The sequence below is a fragment of the Homo sapiens genome, chromosome 7, assembly GCF_000001405.40.
Source record: "Homo sapiens chromosome 7, GRCh38.p14 Primary Assembly".
Lineage (NCBI taxonomy): Eukaryota > Metazoa > Chordata > Mammalia > Primates > Hominidae > Homo > Homo sapiens.
The window spans coordinates 38,894,142-38,915,024 of record NC_000007.14 but is presented as its reverse complement, the minus strand read 5'-3'; the positions used below and the strand labels follow the sequence as shown (position 1 = coordinate 38,915,024).

Here is a 20,883-nt window from a genome sequence, read left to right as displayed (position 1 = left end):
GTGTTGGGATTACAGGCGTGAGCCACTGCGCCCGGCCTATCTTTATGTCTCTTCTTATACTGTTCCCTTTACCTGGAATATTTTCCCTTTCCTCTTACCATCAGCCTCTTACCTATCCTTTAAGGAACACTTGATGTGCTGCTTGAAGTCATGTCTGATCTTCCCAACTGATTTGATCACTCCCACCTTCAAACTCTCACACAATGGCTGACTTAAACGTCCCAGATACCACTTTCTTTGTGTCATTTCACTGCTCTAAATCTTCAATATCTTTTTATTTGCTCATAGAACAGGTCTGAAACGTACTCAGGTGGCAAGGCACCAAATAGTCTAGTTTGAGAAAGCACCATGAATGGAAAGATGTTCAATTAATTAATTGATTCAGTCAACAAATATTTATAGTGACCCTATTATGCACATACACTGTGCTAGGTGCCTGGTACATGTTTAAAAGTAAGAAGTTGTCAAAGCAAGCTTTATAGTTTCTTTCTGATTTTTTTGGTTGGGATTTATTTACTATTTTTATGTATTTTTATGTCTCAGTGCTTGTTTATAGCTAAGCAATAGCAAAAAATCAAAGATTTCAAGAAAGCATATGTGAAAACCCTAAATAAAATATTTTACCCATTAATCAATTGATTTCTTTCTGTGAATTGGGAAAATAAAGTGACTATTTGATTTTACCAATAAAACCCCTTCGTGCAAATCAAGGCACACTAATTTCACAAGAATCTAGCAAGAGAACCACCACAGTGAGTCTAAACTTTACCTCTTCAAAGTTCCCTCAAATCTATGTATTTCCAAAGATTCTCTCTTAGGTTGTAATACTACACAATACTATACCTCAAGTATCAATTAAAAGTAATGGCAAAAACTGCAATTACTTTTGCACCAACCTAATATATGTTGAAGACCTCAGATTATTTACATCCAGCACCAGACTCCTCCTAGCTTCAAACCAAATAACCAAATATCTACTGAACATTTCTTTTACAAGCCAAATAGGGAAAAGATCAACTTTCCCACAAAAGATGGGTAAAGAGCAAGAGTAGAAAGGACAGAACAAAGTTGAAAATGGCCAGTAAATTTATGAAAAACATCCCCTCATCAGAAATCAAAGACATACAGTTAAAACAAAAATTAAAATATTAATACTATTTTCCCCAAGCTAAATTAATGAAATGTGTAAAAAATGATAATATCTAATGTTTGATGGTAGGAGGGTTTAGAGCTCTCATATATAGCTCACTGTAGAATAAATTGTGAGAGACTGAATATATAAAGGGGCACTGGCCAGACCAGATATTAAAATAGAACTCTGACCCACAGTCTGAAGCAAGCTGCAGCAATTGCCCAGGAAACCAAGCCATTGTCCACAATAGAAAACCCAGGAATCTAGCCTGACAGTCAAAACTGCCATCTCTAGTAACAATCCAGGAACCTTAACTATAACCTCTGAAACAATCAGCCTAAAATGACCAGGACTTTATTGGTAGTTGACAACTTCCTTAATTTTTACTCCCACTTCCAACTAAGAGCAACCAGAGAAAACCAAATATCCACCCCTACCAATCACATAGGTTGCCCCACTTCTGGTTACCCCACCTGCAGCTTTCTCATGCCAGCAGCCTCCAACCAGGGCCTACCTGAAGCCTTCCCTTTTCCTACCTTCCCACTCTTGTGCCTGTGTTTGAGTCTCTGCCACAGCGCAAGTGCTGGTGGCTGACTCCCTTTCTAGAGTAAGCTCTGAATAACTCCTCAATGGCATTTCTCATTTGGATGATCTTTATTCCTGCAGTTGATACCACCTTGCATTATAGCATTTTCCAGAATTATGCACAGGGATGTTAATTAGATGTACTTAAAGTATACAACAAAATAGAATGATTATATACATTACTTTTCATACGATGGAATTATAATGTGAAATCATGTTTTATTAAAATCATGTTTTAGAAGAATATTTTACAAGATTGTTATTGGGAAACAATCTTGAAATATGACTAAGTAAAAAAAAATGACAAAACTTGGTAATATGATCTTTGTTGGACAAGTTTTTAAATAAATACAGAGAGACAGAGAGGGGAAAGGAGGAAGAGAGAGAAAAAAGAGAAGAAAAAAGAAAGGCATATATCCAACAATCATAATCTAAGTGGAGAAATCATGAGTGGTTTTAGAATTTTATTTTATAATTTATTGTATTTTTCCAGTTATCTATTATGAACACATAGTACTTTTGTAATTAGAAAAATGTTATTAAGAAAATCTAATGTGGTTGCTCAGGGAAATTTCCAATAAGCTATATCTTAAAATGACATTTAGAATATTAGAAGGTAACAGGTTTCAGTAGGTACAGTTTTGGAAAAACTAAACTGCAAAATAAGCTGAGGCTGGCCAAATTTGCTAAAGATAACATCAATATTCTTTTAGCTATTTGGTACAGTTAATTAAATAAAGGCTAAGATTGTAGCTTGGAATTAGTAGTGTAATGTGGTGTAAATTTGCTTGTCATTAGCTGTCACACCTGTAGATTGAGAAAGGTAGCAATCTAAGAAGGAATGGAAGCTGAAGATTGGGAAAAGAATCTACAACACATCCCCTAATTAGCAAGGGCATAAGAGTGAATTATTTTAACTTTGTCCACTTTGCCGATTTTTCAAGTTTCCTGAATTTATAAATGCTATTTAATAATGGAAAATATTAAAGCCGTTCATATTGTTTAAGCAATGAAATAATGCTATTGTCACGAATAAAATGGCTATAATTTGAGTTAGTAAACTGTTTCAGACCTACGAAACAAACATATGAGACAGATCCTTGAAACCAGTGAGCCACTCTACAAATATAAGGTCTTAGGTCTGTTTTCTGAAGTCTATTAACAATTTTAGGTCCTATAGACTGAGAATGAGAAGTTGAATCTTACCTTTACCTCCATCTGCATTTTTGTTTTAGTTTTAGTTTTTGTTTTTGTTTTTGTTTTTTGAGACAGAGTCTTGCTCTGTCACCAGGCTGTAGTGTAGTAGTGTGATCTTGGCTCACTGCAACCTCCGCCTCCCGAGTTCAAGCGATTCTCCTGCCTCAGCCTCCCGAGTAGCTGGGATTACAGGCGCACACCACCACGCCTGGCTAATTTTTGTATTTTTAGTAGAGACGGGGTTTCACTATGTTGACCAGGATGGTCTCGATCTCTTGACCTCAGGGGATCCGCCCGCCTTGGCCTCCCAAAGTGCTGGGATTACAGGCGTGAGTCACTGCGCCCAGCCCTTTACCTCCGTATCTTGAAGTTGGGAGAGGGTGGACTGAGCAGGTGATTTGACACAGAATCAGTGACTGTTAGGCTGACTACTCCTCAAACTTGAAAGTATATGCATATGACTGAGGGATACTATTAAAATCCAGATTGTGGTTAAATACATCTCTCAAAGGGCCCCAAATTCTTCATTTTTAACAAGCTCCCAGGTAGTCTTTGGACTACACTTAGAGTAGTTGGAGAATACAAGACCACCTAGATAAGAGAGCCTCAAACTCTCACTTCACATGAGCAAATGGGATTTGGAGGTCACATGTGAATTTCATCCTGTCCACTGTCCCAGCACGAACCTGCTAGTTCATAGTAGGTTTCTTCCTCTAATTCACCTTTCCATACCTGTGTCTCTTCACTTTTCCAGTCTCTCCAAAAGGAAAGAGGCTCATAATACTTTATTGTAATCAAGAGAGTATACTGAATGCGGAACAAACTTGGGGAATTGAGAGTTTCTACGGTTAAATGAGCAGAGGAAAACCTATAAAGTCTGGCTATATCTTTAATAAGACCCATAACACCCTTCTTGAGAAAGAGAATAAACATTCTCATTCCAGAAAAGTAGAAAGGCCAGGAAGGCCCAGAGTGGATGGCCTTCAGCTTTGCTTGCTTGGGCTGCTTGACTTCTCACCAAAATAAAATGGAACCATAAAACAAAAATGACCTTGTGGTTAAGACAGTGGTAATAATCCCTTATTTTCCTTCTTCATCCCAATCTCATCCATTCAGCATAGAAGAGGAGATTGCCCAGTTGGAGAGGCTGTAGTCCTAGAGGTTTATGGGTGGCTGTCACTCATAACAGAAAAGAGAAAATTGGAGTTTGTGAGGAAAGTCAGAAAAGTGGAAGAGCTCATTTTATTTCTCTTTCCCGTGGATACTCGACTGAGGGCTTCCACAGTCTCTTTGGTCTGTATTAAAGTTTTTCTGGGATCTGGAGTTCATCATGAGCAATGTTTGGCCCTGGGCTGCTTTGCAAGAGATTTTAGAAACTCTTGGGTTAGGTTTATACTTGCCCTAGGTTTATACTTAGGGCATTGGGTGCTTGCTTATGGATTTCTTTTTTCTTTTTTCTTTTTTTTCAGATAGGGTCTCACTCTGTTGCCCAGGCTGGAGTGCAGTGGCACCATCAATGCTCACTGCAGCCTTAACCCCCACCTCAGCCTCCTGAGTAGCTGGAACTACAGGCGCACACCATTATGCCCGGCTAATTTTTGGTATTTTTTGTAGAGACAGGGTTTTGCCATGTTGTCCAGGATGGTCTCAAACTCTTGAGCTCATGAAATCTGACTGCCTTGGCCTCCCAAAGTGCTGGGATTACAGGTGAAAGCCACTGCACCTGGCTGCTTATAGACATTTAAATGCCTCAGGGTGGTCTATCCTGTCGGCTGAGTGATTAGCCCACTGGAAGAGGAACCCCAGCAAGGCTTGGAGGAAGAAGATGGAGGTAAGGCTGTTTAGGCCCTGGGGAGAAGACAGGTGTCTCAGAGATGATGTCACCTTGGCTTCTGGGCCATTGAGGAATCATGGGTTGAGCAAGCTACAGACAGAGTACTGAGTCCATGACTTCCTACTGGGTCAGAGTCAATGAGGCACAGGGAGTCAAAAAAGGTACTGAGGCAATCACCACATGCTGCCATTTGCAATGCCCTCTGCTGGTCACCAGCTACTCCAGTGAATGGAAATTGTAAAATGTCTGTCTTTGGACAAGGTGCTGCAGATTCCTGAGGGTTAAGAAACAGAATTCATAATGTTCAGAAACATGGAGAAGGAATCAGTCATTCTGAAGGCTGGAAGTAATACAGTGGTTGTGCAGATTTTGACCAAGGACAACTTCATATTGTGTCTTCACTTGAACATTTACCTATTGAATATCCTCAACAAAAGTTTAACAATTAATTTATTAAACAACAGAGATTTTTTTTAAATCAATGTTCATATGACAGGAGAAGACAAAGTAGCAAGCAAAAATAATGATATTATTTGTTGGCGTATAAATTTTCTCTGACTCTCCACTGCAAAGACTGCTTTATATTCACTGAATATACTTAAAAAAGAGAGAGAAAAAAGGACAAGAACACTTTTAGAGTAAGCAGCATTTGGCAATCACAGAGACTTTGGCATCAGGCAGGGCTGAATTCTATTACTAGTTCTGCCTCTTACTAGCTGCATGACCTCTGAGCTACGGTATTCTCCCCTATAAATGGGGATGATAGTAGGAATTGCTGTGAGGATTAAATGAGATAATTTATGCAAAGCTATAAACCCAGGGCATGACATAGTAAGTGCTTAATAAACACTAGAATAACTAGAGAAACAAGAACAACAATAAAATAAGCTATAGTATTAGCAATGGTTATGTTCACATCCTTCAAAGCAGAATTCCATTGAGTTTGGAGAATTGGCAGCAGAAATGAACCCTAGCAGGTCCGTCCCCTAGAAGAGATTTCCAGGCTCAGATGAAGCTAAAACTACATTTCCCAGAAGGCCCTGGGCCAAGTGTGTGGTTTCCTCTTATTTCCGGGTCTGTCAGGTGACTCTCCCGTGGCGCCATGGCGGAAGCAGAGGAGCAGGTAAAGGGTGCAGGTGGTAGTTGAGGGCACAGGGATATAGAGACTAGGGTGGGCTGTTTGGGGAGGGTGGAGTGGAGTGGGTGGAGGTGCGGAGCTGCTGGAATAGCGCAAGGCAGGTCCGCGGCAGGGCGGGGTGGGATGGCGAAAGTTGGTTTCGGGGAGCAGAGAGGATGCCAGCCCCGGGAGGGCACCTAGGGAAAGCGCTCTGACACACCCCCGCGTTCGGGCTGCCTTTCCTCGGGCCCCATCCCTGTGGCCTTTGCCCAGGGAAATTTTGGCATGAAGGCAGGCCCGGCTACCTCAGGGACTGACTGCCTGTGGGAGGAGGAAGAGAGGCCGGGTGACTGAAATTTAAGTTGCTTTCCACTTGAAGTAGGACAATAAGAACTAGGAGAGAGTAGACGATGAGTTTTGTTTTGTATCTATTGGAGTTAGGTACAGAGCTGGAGCACTGTTGCGGTGCAGCAGGGATTAAATGCATCCGTTCTGGAGCAAAAATGCCTGGGGTCCAAGTGCTGGTTCCTTTTCTTACCCAATGTGCTACTTTGAGCTACTTATTTAACTTTCCAGTGTGAGATGGGGGTAATAATAAGGCCGTCCTCAGAGGGTGGTTTAAGATGGAGAGAGGAGTTTATACACAAAGTTAGAGTACTTAGAACTGTTGGGCTTAGTAAAAATTAAATGGGATTATTTGTTGCTGGTAGTATCCAGTCAACAACTGGCAACGTGGCACTGAAGTTTAGGGTAGAAATTGGTGATGGGAATATGAATTATTTTCATATAGCAGTAGTGGTAATCACACATTTTATGAAATGACGAAGTAAAATAAAAAAGACAAAAAAGAGAAGCAGACCAAAAAAGAGGCTAGAACTTGGGGGAGATAACTTAAGTTTCCATTTCCAGTGTTATTTCAGTTGGATACTGTTTTTCTTCACAAGTTAACAGGGCTGTCAGTTGCAGTCATTGTCTCTAAACAGTGACTTGATGATGGGCTGTTTAGTATCATAAGAGTCATTTACCTAGTTCAATAATTTTTACTATTTTCAACATACTTCATTTGTTTTTACTTCATAGTGAAAATTTGTTCTGTATATATTTTATATATGCCAATAATTGAGACGTTTGACTAGGTAGAAATTTGGTTTGGCTGGTCCTTGTGATAACAAGATAACAAAGTCTCTTATCTAACACTAGAGACTCCTATTTCCATTCTAGCAGTTCAAAGGAAAACACTCATTAAGAACATATCATTTCATGACTGCCATTGCTCCTTTGAATAAGGGTGAGATTGTTTTTCACATTGTGCATCTTTATTTCATGTTGAAATGTTTGTTTTATGGTTTGATTTGAAAGCAAAAAACTGAGTTTCATATGTTCTTAGATATAGTGGAATAGAAATGGAGAGAGTTGCTCCTAGAAAAACCATTGTTTTTTCTTCCATTGAAAAAAACCTATGAAATATTTACCACTGTTTAGTGCAGAAGAAGAATTTAACAAAGTTGTCTGATATAAAAATGACACATACAAAATTAGGGATATAATAATGTTTCACATTTGTACATTATTTTCTAGTTTTAAAAACCCTTCCATATTGCATTTGGTCTTCCCAAAAGAATTCTATGAGGTAAATGTTTACTCTCATACATGGGTGAAACACCTCTGATATTCTAGACTTTCCAGGGGCTTCTAATCTTATTCAGAGGAAAAGCCACAGCCATTACGGTAGCCTGGTTGTCCCACAGGACCTTGACCCAGCTGCCCTTAGCCACCTTTTCTTGACCTCATTTTTCCCACTACTCTCCTTCCCTTCTGTGACTCTGCATCAGCTGTACTGGCTCTCTTAGTCTTCAAAAAGCCAGGCAGGTTCCTATCTCAGGGCCTCTTTGCTCATGCTGTTCCTTTTTGAGGAACCCTGATATTTACAGGCTTCCTCATTTCCTTCATGTCTTTGTCCAAGTGTTCTTTTTCATTGCGACCTTCCCTGACCATGCTTTGAAACCTTCCTGCATTATTTTTCCCTATAATGTGCATCACCGTTTGACATACTGTATTATAAAATTTGTTTTTTTTTTTTTCCCTGTATATTTCTGTGTACCTCTTACCACAGAGCTTGGAACATCCTGACAAGGATTTGTTCACTGCTGTATGTCCAATACCTAGAATATTGCTTGTTACTTAATAAATTTGTGTTAAATGATTGACTTTTACTGATAAACAAATTGAAATTCAGGCAACTTGAGTAACGTGCTCAGGCTTATATCTATAATATAATAAATCTCCAGTCCTCTGTCTCCATAGCTCATGACTTTTCACTAGAATACCCTACCTTTTTAAAATATATGTAAGAACCTAAATCTAAATAGTTTTTTTACTTTATGAAGTAGAATTAGCCCTTTCCATTTTAATGATTTTCCCTCAAGCCACCATTCCACTTTGATGCTTTAACAGCCAATATGTAGTTGGAGTGGGCATTCTCCTCTCCAGTGGTGTCAGTATCTTAAAAAGACTAGTCGTGGACCAGGCACAATGGCCCATACCTGTAATCCCAGCACTTTGGGAGGCCAAGGTGGGGCGATTGTTTGAGCCCAGGAGTTCGAGACGAGCCTGGGCAACATAGCAAAACCCTATCTCTACAAAAATTACAAAAATTAGCCAGGCATGGTGGTGTGTAGTCCCAGCTACTCGGGAGGCTGAGGTGGGAGGATTGCTTGAGTCAAGAGGGTCGGGGCAGCAGTGAGCCATGATCGTGCCACTGCACTTCAGTCTGGGCAACAGAGCAAGACCCTGTTTAAAAAAAAAACGAAAAACAAACAAAAAAAAACCCAGCAGTCTGTTGTAAATGGCTGAAAGACACATTCACAAATTGTTCAGTTCTTTTTTTTAAAAGAAAGTAAGTAATTGTACCTAATCTTATCCTTTATAGATTAAAAATGGTTAGGCTTTTCTCTGATTTGTTTTTGCATTTCACAGTAGGAAGCCATTGAAATCTGATGACGGTAGTAGGGCTTTATTATACCATTTTTTTAAAGCTAAAAGTGTATAAAAATGGAGAAAATAGGGCTGCGTGCGGTGGCTCATGCCTGTAATCCCAGCACTTCGGGAGGCTGAGGCGGGTGGATCACCTGAGGTCAGGAGTTCGAGACCAGACGGGCCAACATGGTGAAACCCCGTCACTACTAAAAATACAAAAAAATTAGTCAGGCATGGTGGTGGGCGCCTGTAATCCCAGCTACTCGGGAGGCTGAGGCAGGAGAATCACTTGAACCCAGGAGGCAGAGGTTGCAGTGAGCCGAGATTGTGCCATTGCACTCCAGCCTGGGTGACAAGAGGGAGACTCCATCTCAAAAACAAACAACAACAACAAAAAAACCCCCAAAAATGGAGAAAATAACTGTTCTATTGAACTTTTTAGAAAACTTGGCATACATTTTTTTCTTGGTATCATGTATCATAAATGCCAGTAATCTCCAGGATTAGCAACACAAAACTAAATGTCTCCACATTATCTTTCGTGAGTGTTGTTTCTTTGGTGATTGCTCCCCTCCCCATTTATTTTCAGAAGAACCAAAATAGTGACATCTGCACTGAGTTATTGTGGTATAAAACAGCTCAGAGGATCTGAAACTAAAACCACTTTTTAGGTATGAATGAAAATTTTTTTATAAGTCACTGGGAAATTCTTGCTTTTGCCTAATATGGTAAAGGTAGTTGTCAAAAGTAACTACATATATATTTTATAGTTTACAGAAAAAATGAATACCCTGCATTCTGCCTGGAAATCTTCTAACCAGCAGTTTTGCTTAGCTCCAAAACGATTTATAGTTGACCTTCATATTCACAGATGCCCAACAGTATTTGTCCATATCTTTCTTATGAATAACATTCTGCTTGAAGTCTGGTTGTTTGTGTATTTGTCTTATCTCTCCTAGAGATTGCTGAGTCCTCAAGAATAAGAACAAGAACTTACTCATGTCTGTATCTTCCACAGGGCTAGTGCTTTATAGGTACTAAGTGTTTAGTAAAGTGTTTAAATGAATTTATTAGGGGGAAAATAGCATTTCAAATTGTCAAATTGTATATTAGTAGGATTTGCGTGAAATTATTTTATCTTACTTGCACCTTTTTTAAGTTATTAATTCAGATGTAATGTGGATTACATCTATACTATAATGTAGGTTACATTCTATACTTTCTTTACTCTTGCCTGCTCCCCAGGTACCCTTTGATCTTCCTAATCAACCAACCTGGACCCTGGTCCATTAAAGTATTTCCACGATTAGACCATCTATTTCTTAATCAAGTAGGAGAGTTTCTACTTTGAATTCTCCTTCTGCATTTTAGAAATTAGGGGAATTCTGTCCTTATTGTAGATCACTTATGGATTATTAGATGTCATATTTGTCATGTATATCCCCATGTGATTATGTTACAATAAAAATCAAATCAATACAAATTTGAGTGCTTCGATTTTCTTGCCTGTAACTGGGAATTTTACTCTCTAAAACTTTTGTGAGTATGAAGTATGTTAAAACTTTTGTGAATATAAAGTATGTTAAAGTGGCTAGGTTGAAATGGTTGTATAAATAAGACAGAGGTTAATCATCGAAACCTGGACTTGGCTTACGTATGCACAATTCTCTTTTCTTACAGTTTGGCTAAGATAGATATTTTAAAGGCAGTGTTACTACTAACTAAAGGAAAAACAAAACCCAAACAAGAAGTTTTAAAAGTATAGAATCAGACAGATTTTAGAGGGTGCACTCTTTCCCATCATGTAACTAAAATGTAGTCACAGATTAGTTTTGCTGGACTAGCGGATTGCTTTGTTAGTTTTTCCACTTATCTTCACCTGAATTGGTCGGCTAGAGGCCACTTCACTAGCTGATTATTAGTAGCCTCCGCCGCGCCCACATTAACACCTTGGAGAGAGGACACTCATCAGATCAGGGGCTTCTGTGTCTCATGCTACTTCCCATTCATGGCTGTGCAGTCCCCTGTTGCCTTTGTTTCTTCTTGATGCCTGGGCCTCCTTATGGTTTTTTTGTTTTTGTTTTTGTTAAAAATGGCTTGTGATTCCAGGCTCTTATTTTAAACCTACTGAATCAGAGTCTGTGCAGATGGAGTGTGTTAGTGGGTATTAGCTAATTCCCCAAACTGAGTTTTGATGATTCTCATGCAAAGGCAGATTTGGGACTGGGTCACCTGGTTACCAAGTTTGCCCTCTTTTCCACGCTGGGGCACACGTCAAGATTTTTCTTCATTTGCAGAATAAGATGAGTGCAGTAGCTGAGCCCAGTAGGCTGAATGGGCTTGGTAACCTGAGTCCTCATCTTTACTACTCAACCAGCCTAGTCCCTGAGTGTCTAAAGCTGGCCACAACTCCTTTGAGGTTTTTTAAATTGAAGCTCTGTGACAACAGGGATATCACATACATACCACACAAAATATTTCCTCCTTCCTGTGCCTATATCAGACAGTGCCTATATCAGAACTCTCTTTCTCATTATGCTCAGCTAGGGCGCATAGTTTGTTGGGAAGACAGAGAAGGTGGCAGTACCTCAGTGAGTGTTCACATGTACCTCCAGGCATAGATGGAGATAGATGATTTCTTGGAGCCTGGTCTCTGCTCTTTTTTTTCCTGCAACACAGACCCAGGTGAGCCCTCCTGCAAAGTTTGGAGTGGCCTTCCTTAGGCCCCAGGCTACCATTTCTCCCCCAAATTCTGTTTTTCTTCCCCAACAGTATGTGGGCACTTACAATTCTGAGGACTTCACAACCCAGGCAAGTCCTGGATCCTCTCTGTCCTGGGCTGACAGTCTTCCTTTTCACCACTCCTGACCTCTGAGGCCAGCTGGGCCAAGCCTTCTCCCAGGCCATTGTCATAGGGTTCTATGCTGATGGGAGGATTAGGGATGGGGGCTGGTTGAAAGCCTGTATGAGAGAAGTCTTCTAGGAGCCCAAGGAATTGTTGGAATTGCTGCATTTGTTGGAAGGTGCTACCTTCCTGCAGTTCCCTTTCTGTAACTGTCCTACAGTTCATAAGCTAATAATTCAGACATGAGTCTGGAGAAAATATGCTTGGTATTGCTCATAAGGGAAAGGCAACATATGGAGGAGGAAGAATTTGTTTTAGATTGGCAGCTTGTCTCATCATCATCACCAGCAACATGTTTTTCCAGTAGGATACTGGGAGACAAAGAAGGCAAAGCCTTTGGGTTTATCCACAGCATATTTAAAATGAGAACTTGTAGGACAAGGCAGTTAATATTAGGTGCTAGCTGAGGGGTACGGGAAGAAACGTAAAAACCAAGCTCTGATATTGAAGAGAGAGTGAATGTCCTCAGGCTGAGTGCCTGGCAACCTCTCCCTGGGGTATCCCTGAGAGACCCACTGAGCCTGTAGAGCATTCCATCAGGATGAGTGCAGGATGGGGCCAGGGGCCTTCTAAATGGAGGGAGTGACATGAGGAAAGTGCAGAGCAGGCAGCACAAACTCAGGCAGGCAGGGGGTGGTGCACATGAGCAGGCGTGCCTTGGTGTCAGAAATTGGGAGTGGTGGGGGTGGTGGAGTGCATTCTGTCCTGGGTGTAACCGCTCAGCTGCAACTGATGGTATGTGGAAGTGTGGATCTTATGTAGACATACAGTCAGGAGTACAGGTTTTTATATGGAAGCTTTTTTAAAAACACCACCTAGGCCAAACAAAACACCTGCAGGCCATATCCAGACCCCAGGCCACTGATTTGCCACTTGTGGCACAGAGATATAAGCAATATCTCGGCGAGGGGTCCTCCAGTGTGGCTGGAGGGTCACAGGTTTGTGGAGAGAGTGGGGAGTGAGGCTAAAGGTCTGTTGGGGGCCAGACTGGGAAGGACTTTGACTACTTTGCTGGGGAATCTGAAAGCTATTCTTCAGGCTGGAGCACTACTGAGGGTTGTTTGAGGAGGGCAGTGGCCGTCTGGTCTGTGCTTTGGGAAGATAATCCTGATGGCAGGTGATGAGTACATTAGAGAGGCCACATGTCAAGGCACAGAAATCACACAGTAAAGCTGTTTGGGTAGGTGGTTGGGCTTAAGGGATTGGTTTGCAAAAGAAAGGTAAAATGAAATGTTTCTGAGTTTAACTGTCAATCCGTTACCCAGAATTGGCTCAGATAGACATTTGTGTCACTGGGTATCTTCCAGCCTATCACTTTTGCTTTGATCAACAGCACTTTATTATAGTAAAATACACATAGCATAAAATTACCATTTTAACCATTAAAAAAGTTGAAAACATTTTTTTTTGTAGAGACAGGATCTTTCTGTGTTGCCCACACTGGTCTCAAATTCCCTGGCCTTAAGCAATCCTCTTGCCTTAGCCTCCCAAAGTGCTGGGATTACAGGTGTGAGCCACCCCCACCTTAACCATTTTTAAGTGTATGATTCAGTGGCATTAAATACACTCACATTGTTGTGCAACCATCACCACTGCTGTAGTTGTGATGTTTGTCCACCTAAAATCTCATGTTCCCCAGTATTAGAGGTGGGAGATCTAATGGGGGCAGATCTCTCACGATGGCTTGGTCCCATCCTTGAAATAGTGAGTTCTCTTTCTATTAGTTCCCAAGAGAGCTGGTTGTTAAAAAGAGCCTGGCACCTCCCCATTGCCCTCTTTTGCTTCCTGTCTTGCCATGTGATCTCTGCATATGCCAGCTACCCTTCAACCTACTGCCATGAGTAGAAGCAGCCTGAGGCCCTCATCAGAAGCAGATGCTGGTGCCGTGCTTCTGGTACAGACTGCAGAACCGTGAGCCAAATAACGCTCTTTTCTTTATAAATTAACCCGCCTTAGTTAGGTATTCCTTTAGAGCAACACAAATGTACTAAGACAACCACTCTGCCTCTCTAGAACTTTTAATCATCACAAACTGAAACTCTGTACCCATTTAACAGTAACTCCCCACTACATCCTCCCTCTGCCTTTGGTAACCTCTGTTTTACTTCTGTGTTATATAAGTGGAATCATGCAATATTTGTCCTTTTGTGTCTTGCTTATTTCACTTTGAAAACAGCATAATTTATAACTTACATTTCAGGATTTGAAGTTAGATTCTTTAAATGAGAGTGTGAAGCTAAAAAAAAAGTTTGAAAACCACTGACTCATTCTCAAATTGTTACCTTTCTCAAAGTTCAGCCTTCTTGGATTTCTTAATGAGGACATTTACTTTACGTCTTCTTTGCCTTTCTCTCTCTAGCATATTAATTAGAGGGCTTGATGAATGAATGAAGCTAAGAAATAACAGACCAGCCTAATTCTTGACATCACTCATGCATTGCTTTGGTAGGATTGTGGAAACAAGTTTTTTTTGAGATCGCCTGTCTGTGTGAGATGTTCGTAGTGGTGCTGAAGGCAAGTCTCAGAGTTTCCTAGAGTAAATGTTCTCCATCAATTCCATAGCCAAAGAAGCTACTCTCAGAGCCCAGTTTTCCCTGAAGATTCAGGTCTCAGATCTTCCTGCCTCACGGTGTCAAATTCTGGCACTGCATGCTTTCTGGTGTGGAGAAAGAGTGTAATTTGATTTTGAGTTTTTGGATTGAAATTGCTGGTTGGAGACTTCTGTTTTTTCTTTTTTAATTTACATACATTTAATGGGTACAGGTGCAATTTTGTTACATATATTGCATAGTGGTGAACTCTGGGATTTTAGTGTCACTGTCACCTGAATAATATATATTGTATCCATTAAATAATTTTCTCATCATCTACCCTTCCCAGTCTCCGTGGTCTGCCATTCTCTACTCTTTGTCCACGTGTACACATTATTTAGCTTCTACTTATAAGTAAGAACATGCATATTTGACTGTTTCTGAGTTGTTTCACTTAAGATAATTTTGTTTTGTTTTGTTTTGTTTTAATCGAGACAGTGTCTTACTCTGTTCCTCAGGCTGGAACGCAGTGACGCAATCACAGCTCACTGCAGCCTTGACCTGCTGGGCTCGAGTGATTCTTCCGGGTTCAAGTGGTCCTCCCAAGTAGCTGGGACTACAGGTGCATGCCACCACACCTAGCTAATTTTCTTTTCATTTTTTCTAGAGATGAGGTTTCACCATGTTGGCCAGTCTGGTCTTGAACTCCTTACCTCAGGTGATCCACCTGCCTCGGCCTCCCAAAATGCTGGGATTACGGGCGTGAGCCACTGTGCCCAGCCCAGATGTTTTTGTTTTAATGAAGAACATAAATGGGGTATTCACCCATTTACCTCATGTGCATACTTGAGTGGATTCTATATGAGGAAAAAAAAATTTCCTTAGGTTTAATGTGATTTTCCTGAAAGAGTACTCAAGTGTCTTTTTAGAACTGTACATACAGGAAATAGGAATCTTAAGTGTGGTTTATTGGCATAGTTATCAAAGCCTTGTATTGCTGATGCTAATAACATAATATTCAGCGACTCACAGAGATGGAAAGGATGTTAGAAGTCATTAAACTCAACCTCTAAGCCTCACTCTTCCAACCCCAGTGGTGTTAGGAAAGTTTATAATGTTGTGGGTGGTGAATGGAACATAATGAGCAGTTTATAATAGATGTTCAGTAAAGAAGTCAGAATAGTGATTGTTAATGTTAAAGTGGACTATGTCCACAAGAGAAGGATCAGTACAGTAAGAGGACTAAAACCAGGAACTGTGATGGTGAGTGCAGAGGAGAAACATTTTAGAAGGTGGAACATGATACATGTCATTAACTCTCTGGACAGCTATCATGTAGTGCAATAATTGTTTTTTTTATGTAGTGCTAAGAACAAAAATGTTACTGTGGATTATTGTAGCTTCAAATGAATAAGAACTTTATGAGACTTGGATTGACATTAAGCTAAACAGGCTGCATTGAGTTACAGAGGAGATTCTAATATTCATTGTGGTTAATGATACAAGTATAATAAAATTCTTAATTACAAGGAACATATCCCCATTTTACCCATGGCCTTTGAAGGCAAGGACTGTGTTGTCCTCCAGGCTGTACTTTGGAAGGTGCCTGCCACCTGTCAGGCTCTTGCTAATTTTTGATGAATGAAATTAAAATGATTTTAAACACTAGATTTACATTTATCCCGCTGTCCAACTTGTATTGAGTAATATATGCATCGATCTTCCTTAAAATGTTCATTTTTTTCTTGAAAATGTATTAGTTATATCTAAAATGTCCTTGCCCCATTTTTTTCTTGTTCTTTGTTTATCTCATGGATTGTTGTAAAGTGCTTACATTCAGTGTCAGCATATTAGTTGTAACCTTTTATTGCTATTGATATCTATAAGTACGTTAAGTAAATCTTCATTTTGCTGACCTCTTTGAGGATGCATGGCATCAGCAGATTCTCTCTTTCACTGGACAGGTGAGAGATTAGCAGGATCAAGTCAATTTTTCCCTTTTTGCTTTGTTTCCTTCAGAGCAGCAAGATTCATTGTCTAGCGAGAGGGAAACTGTGTTAAATGGCAGAATTTGTCTTAGTGGTGATGGTTTAAAGAGTGCATGTAAATTATACAGCTTGTTTACACAGGGTCTGATAGGTACCACTGTAGGAGATTCTTTTAAAAAGCTATTTTAGCAAGACAGTCATTTTAACTCAACCAGATTAATAGCATGATAATTAATAGCACAAGAACTTTTCAGTATAAAAATTGGCTTGTAGATAACATGAGATGGCAGTTTCCTCTTCCCTTCTGAGATTAGTGAGGCTGCTTTGCCAGATGGGTTTCCATTATTAACAAGGGAGAGAGTCTTCCAGGCCCTCAGATGATAAGTTCCTGGGGTAATTTGTTTACCTGTTAACTCTTTGAGGGAGAGCAGCAGGATCTGCCTGCCAGGGTGTGGAGAAGTTGCAGGAGACATGTGAAAGTCAGAGCATGTGGTCCTCTAAAGTATAGTTGTAGATTCTCTTCCAAAAAGGGCAGATGCGTGGTAGTAGGAACATGAGGACTCTTTCCCCTTGCAAATGATTATTCTTTTATCATCTCTTCTGACCATTTTCTTTTTCTATGCTTTATAGGAAACTGGGTCCCTTGAAGAATCTACAGATGAGTCTGAGGTAAGGTGGTGACTCAGGAGCCCTCGGATTTGTAGCTCACCACGTTGTTCTCTTGAGTTGCGCTTCTTTGCTAAATGCAACATTCCCAGGGGCTGAGGGTGTAAAGCAGGGCGATAGGTAACTAAGCCTTGGGGAAGAGCTTTTAATATGCCAGCTATCTTAAAAAAGATTAAATGGATTAGCTTAAAAAATAAGAAAAGGAACAAAAAGTTTTCATCTGAAACAATATTTTAACTTGAAACATGTTGGCAGTTGGAAAATTGATACAAAGTTTTAGAAATTTATCTCAACACTTTAACATCCCCCTCACCTGCTTTTTAAAAATAGCCACTGTAGGTTTTATGATGTTTATTCTTTATTTGTTCTTTTAATGAATGTGACATGTTTGTTGGTATAATTTTTGAATCATTGAAATTGGAGTTTGCTTCTTTTTTTTTTTTTTTTTTGAGACGGAGTCTCGCTCTGTTGCCCAGGCTGGAGTGTAGTGGCTCCATCTCGGCTCACTGCAGGCTCCGTCTCCCAGGTTCACACCATTCTCCTGCCTCAGCCTCCTGAGTAACTGGGACTACAGGCGCCCGCCGCCACGCCCAGCTAATTTTTTGTATTTTTAGTAGAGGCAGGGTTTCACCGTGTTAGCCAGGATGGTCTTGATCTCCTGACCTTGTGATCCACCCGCCTCTGCCTCCCAAAGTGCTGGGATTACAGGCGTGAGCCACCGCGCCCGGCCTGGAGTTTGCTTCTTAAAAAGGGAGCTACTTTAAAAGTTGTTAGGTTATTGTGATAAAGATAGTTTCTTAAGGAGAATAATATATAAGGAAGGAGTTTTTAAAAAATTTATTTTCAAGTCTGCATAAGAAATGTTTAAGCATAATATAAATTTTTTTTTTTTTTTTTTTGAGACAGAGTTTCACTCTTGTCACCTAGGCTAGAGTGCAATGGTGCAGTCTGGGCTCACTATAACCTCTATCTCCTGGGTTCAAGTGATTCTCCAGCCTCAGCCTCCCGAGTAGCTGGGATTACAGGCGCCCACCACCATGCCCAGATAATTTTTGTATTTTTAGTAGAGACAGGGTTTCACCATGTTGGCCAGGCTGCTCTCAAACTCTTGACCTCAGGTGATCCGCCTGCCTTGGCCTCCCAAAGTGCTGGGATTATAGGCATGAGTCACTGCACCTGGCCCAAGCATAATGTAATTGGCTTATCAATTTTATAGATGGACTCATAAGAAGAATTACATTTTTCCTTTTAATATTTCATTTCGCTCAGAGGAATGAAAATGTATCTGTGATAACCTGCTAGAAATACACACTGATATGACTCTAGCCATGATAATCTATTACATTTGGGTTGATACTGCATAAGCTTATGTGAATTTTGTTGCTTTTCCAGGGAAAAGTTGGACTTATGCATATTTCTCTAGAGAACAGATTATATATCAGGGATGTCCAATCTTTTGGCTCCCCGGGTCACATTGGAAGAAGAATTGTCTTGGGCCACACATAAAATACACTAACAATAGCTGATGAGCTAAAAAAAATTGCAGCAGAAAATCAAACAGTGTTTTAAGAAAGTTTATGAATTTGTGTTGAGCTGCATTCAAAGCCATCCTAGGCCATATGTGGCCTGCGGGCCATGGGTTGGACAAGCTTGTTATGTATTATGTCATTGTGTAGTCATGGTTTCTAACATTTTCATTAATAAGGATTTCCATTACTGTGGGGCTTCTGGTAAGGCATTTCTGAGTTTGCTTATAGATAGGGTATATTTGTTAATTTCTCATACAGTATTGAAAAGCATTTTAGGTTACCTTATTTTGGAAATCTCTAATTAACTAAGATTCCAGTGTTCTTAGAATCATTGGTACAGAATCAGACAGTGCTGGAACTCTGTTGAGGAATTTCATTTTGCAGGTGAGGAGGGTGTTGGCAGCCACCTAAATCTAAATCTTTCCACACATGCTCCAAATACTAAACAGCTCAACAAAGAGTAAATAAAAGCACACACAATCTAGGCCTCTAGTATAATTAGCAAATGGGGAGTAATACAAACTTCAGTGCAAGTGGGAAAATAAACATCCAAAGCCAGCAGAGTCGGCTCTGGAGTTGACGCTGGAGCTGACAGTCAGATGGAGACTGGGTAGAAATAAAGAGAGTACAGCTGAGACCCAGCCGAGGCAGAATGCACATAAAAATCATCTTAGTGAGAAGGGGGCCCCATTCTTAGTGGGGAGATCTGAGAACAGATGTGAGACTTGGTGGATTTCGAGAATTTAAAGAAAGGAGCTTGAAAGTGTATAGGGCTTTAGGTGACAAGAGTTGGATGGTGCTGCTTTTGGCAGAGATGGGGGAGGCATCCTTAGCGGCTTGGCAGTGAAAGAAAAGGACAAAGCAGAGGAAATTAAGGGTGCCCAGAAACAAAGAACATCATCAGATCAGGAGACTTACCTACTCACCAAAAAAAGATGCCTCCTAGAAAAGAAAATGCAGAAACCTGGTAAACCACACAGATGCTTCACCCCTTCTTCCCTGGTAACGTCTGTTACTGCTATCCAGGAAAATCCAAGACATTTAAAAATGAATTGAAATGACAAGTAACATCCATAAAAAGCTACTATAGGAAGAAAGAAAGTCAGAATCAGAGGTTTCAGTAGCAGAAAACAATAACATAACACTCCATCATGAGTTGAATGTCTATAAACAAGCATTTGCAGATACAATAAACTACCTTAACGTGGTTTGTTTTTTTTATTTTTTTATTTTTATTTTTTTTTAGACAAAGTCTTGCTTTGTCACCAAGACTGGAGTGCAGTGGCACGATCTCGGCTCACTGCAACCTCCACCTCCCAGGTTCAAGCGATTCTCATGCTTCAGGCTCCTGAGTAGCTGTGATTACAGGTGTGCACCAACACGCCCAGTTCACTTTTGTGTTTTTAGTAGAGATGGGGTTTTGCCATGTTGGCCAAGCAGGTGTCAAACTCCTGGCCTCAAGTGATCTGCCTGCCTCAGCCTCCCAAAGTGTTGGGATTATAGGCGTGAGCCACCGTGCCTGGCCACAGTAAAGTACCTTAAATCAGATATTTAAAAACTATATTAGAAATGGACAAAGAAACTAGGAAGTTAGGGAATGAGACTTGGCCAAACTGAGGAGATAAATGGAAGGAAAAGGTAGTTATTTTAAGATTGAGGAAAGTGAGACCCAAATGTGGCTTGATTGCCTAATGTCCTACAGCTGATGAGGAGGAGAAAGGGGTTCCAACTCTGGGCTCTTTCCATTTTCTTGCTGTCTAGCCTCCAGTGCCTACTGCTTGGGATAGTGCTAAAGAACTGGAGGTGGACCCTCATTTGTATCATGGCCATACCTTGTGCTTTTTGTATGACCTGGGCATAGCACTTACCTCCTGTATTCTTCAGTTTCCTCGTGTGAAAAATGGGTCTTGTTGCTTGCCTTGTATGGTTGCTGTGAAGATAGATACGATTAATGTTCATAAAGCATCTTATATAGAGCCTAGCACATGGGAAGCACTTGCTAAATATTAATGACCTTCAGTTTATATTTTAGATATTGTCATGGTGGCTCATTTTCCAGCTTGGTGCTTCAACCTGAGGGCTTAGAGAGATTCCTCCCCCACTTCCCCCCAACCCTAGCCTCCGTGCCCCCCGCTGCCTCTAGCTCTATGAAAACAGTTACTCTCCTAGATATTACTGATTCTACTGAGTTTATGGACCAGCAAAGTAGTCAGGATGTTGATGGACCAGGTTTAGGCCTTGTAAGTGTAGTAAGCCTGTTTGCAGTTGAGCCTTTGAAGACTTTGGAGTTTTTTTACTCAGTTTGAATCACTTTCCAGTTCCAGGAGCGATATTTTGAGACACCACTCAGTCCACCAGAGATTCCTCCTTCATCCATTTCTCTTCGTTCTCTATCATCTCTTCTCGTGTTTTGTAACTGTTAA

The 20,883-nt window shown here is 40.5% G+C and overlaps 1 protein-coding gene across 3 annotated transcripts in view, besides 1 other annotated feature; it reads left to right on the top strand.

Moving 5' to 3' along the window:
* Positions 5,727-5,826: an enhancer, noted in NCBI's record as "active region_25874". NCBI's record gives its function as "activates an Ori minimal core promoter by ATAC-STARR-seq in GM12878 lymphoblastoid cells {active_cell/tissue: GM12878}" and the evidence as "EXISTENCE:reporter gene assay evidence [ECO:0000049][PMID:35858748]".
* Positions 5,834-20,883, top strand: part of VPS41 (VPS41 subunit of HOPS complex) — a 186,218-nt gene continuing 171,168 nt past the window's right edge. For all 3 annotated transcript variants that reach the window (XR_007060008.1, NM_080631.4, NM_014396.4), the window contains exons 1-2: positions 5,834-5,871; positions 16,896-16,934. Coding sequence is in view for 2 of the 3 variants with exons in the window: in NM_080631.4 (NP_542198.2) it covers positions 5,851-5,871; positions 16,896-16,934 (60 nt within the window). In the remaining variant the exon portion in view is untranslated. The remainder of the gene's footprint in view (positions 5,872-16,895; positions 16,935-20,883) is intronic.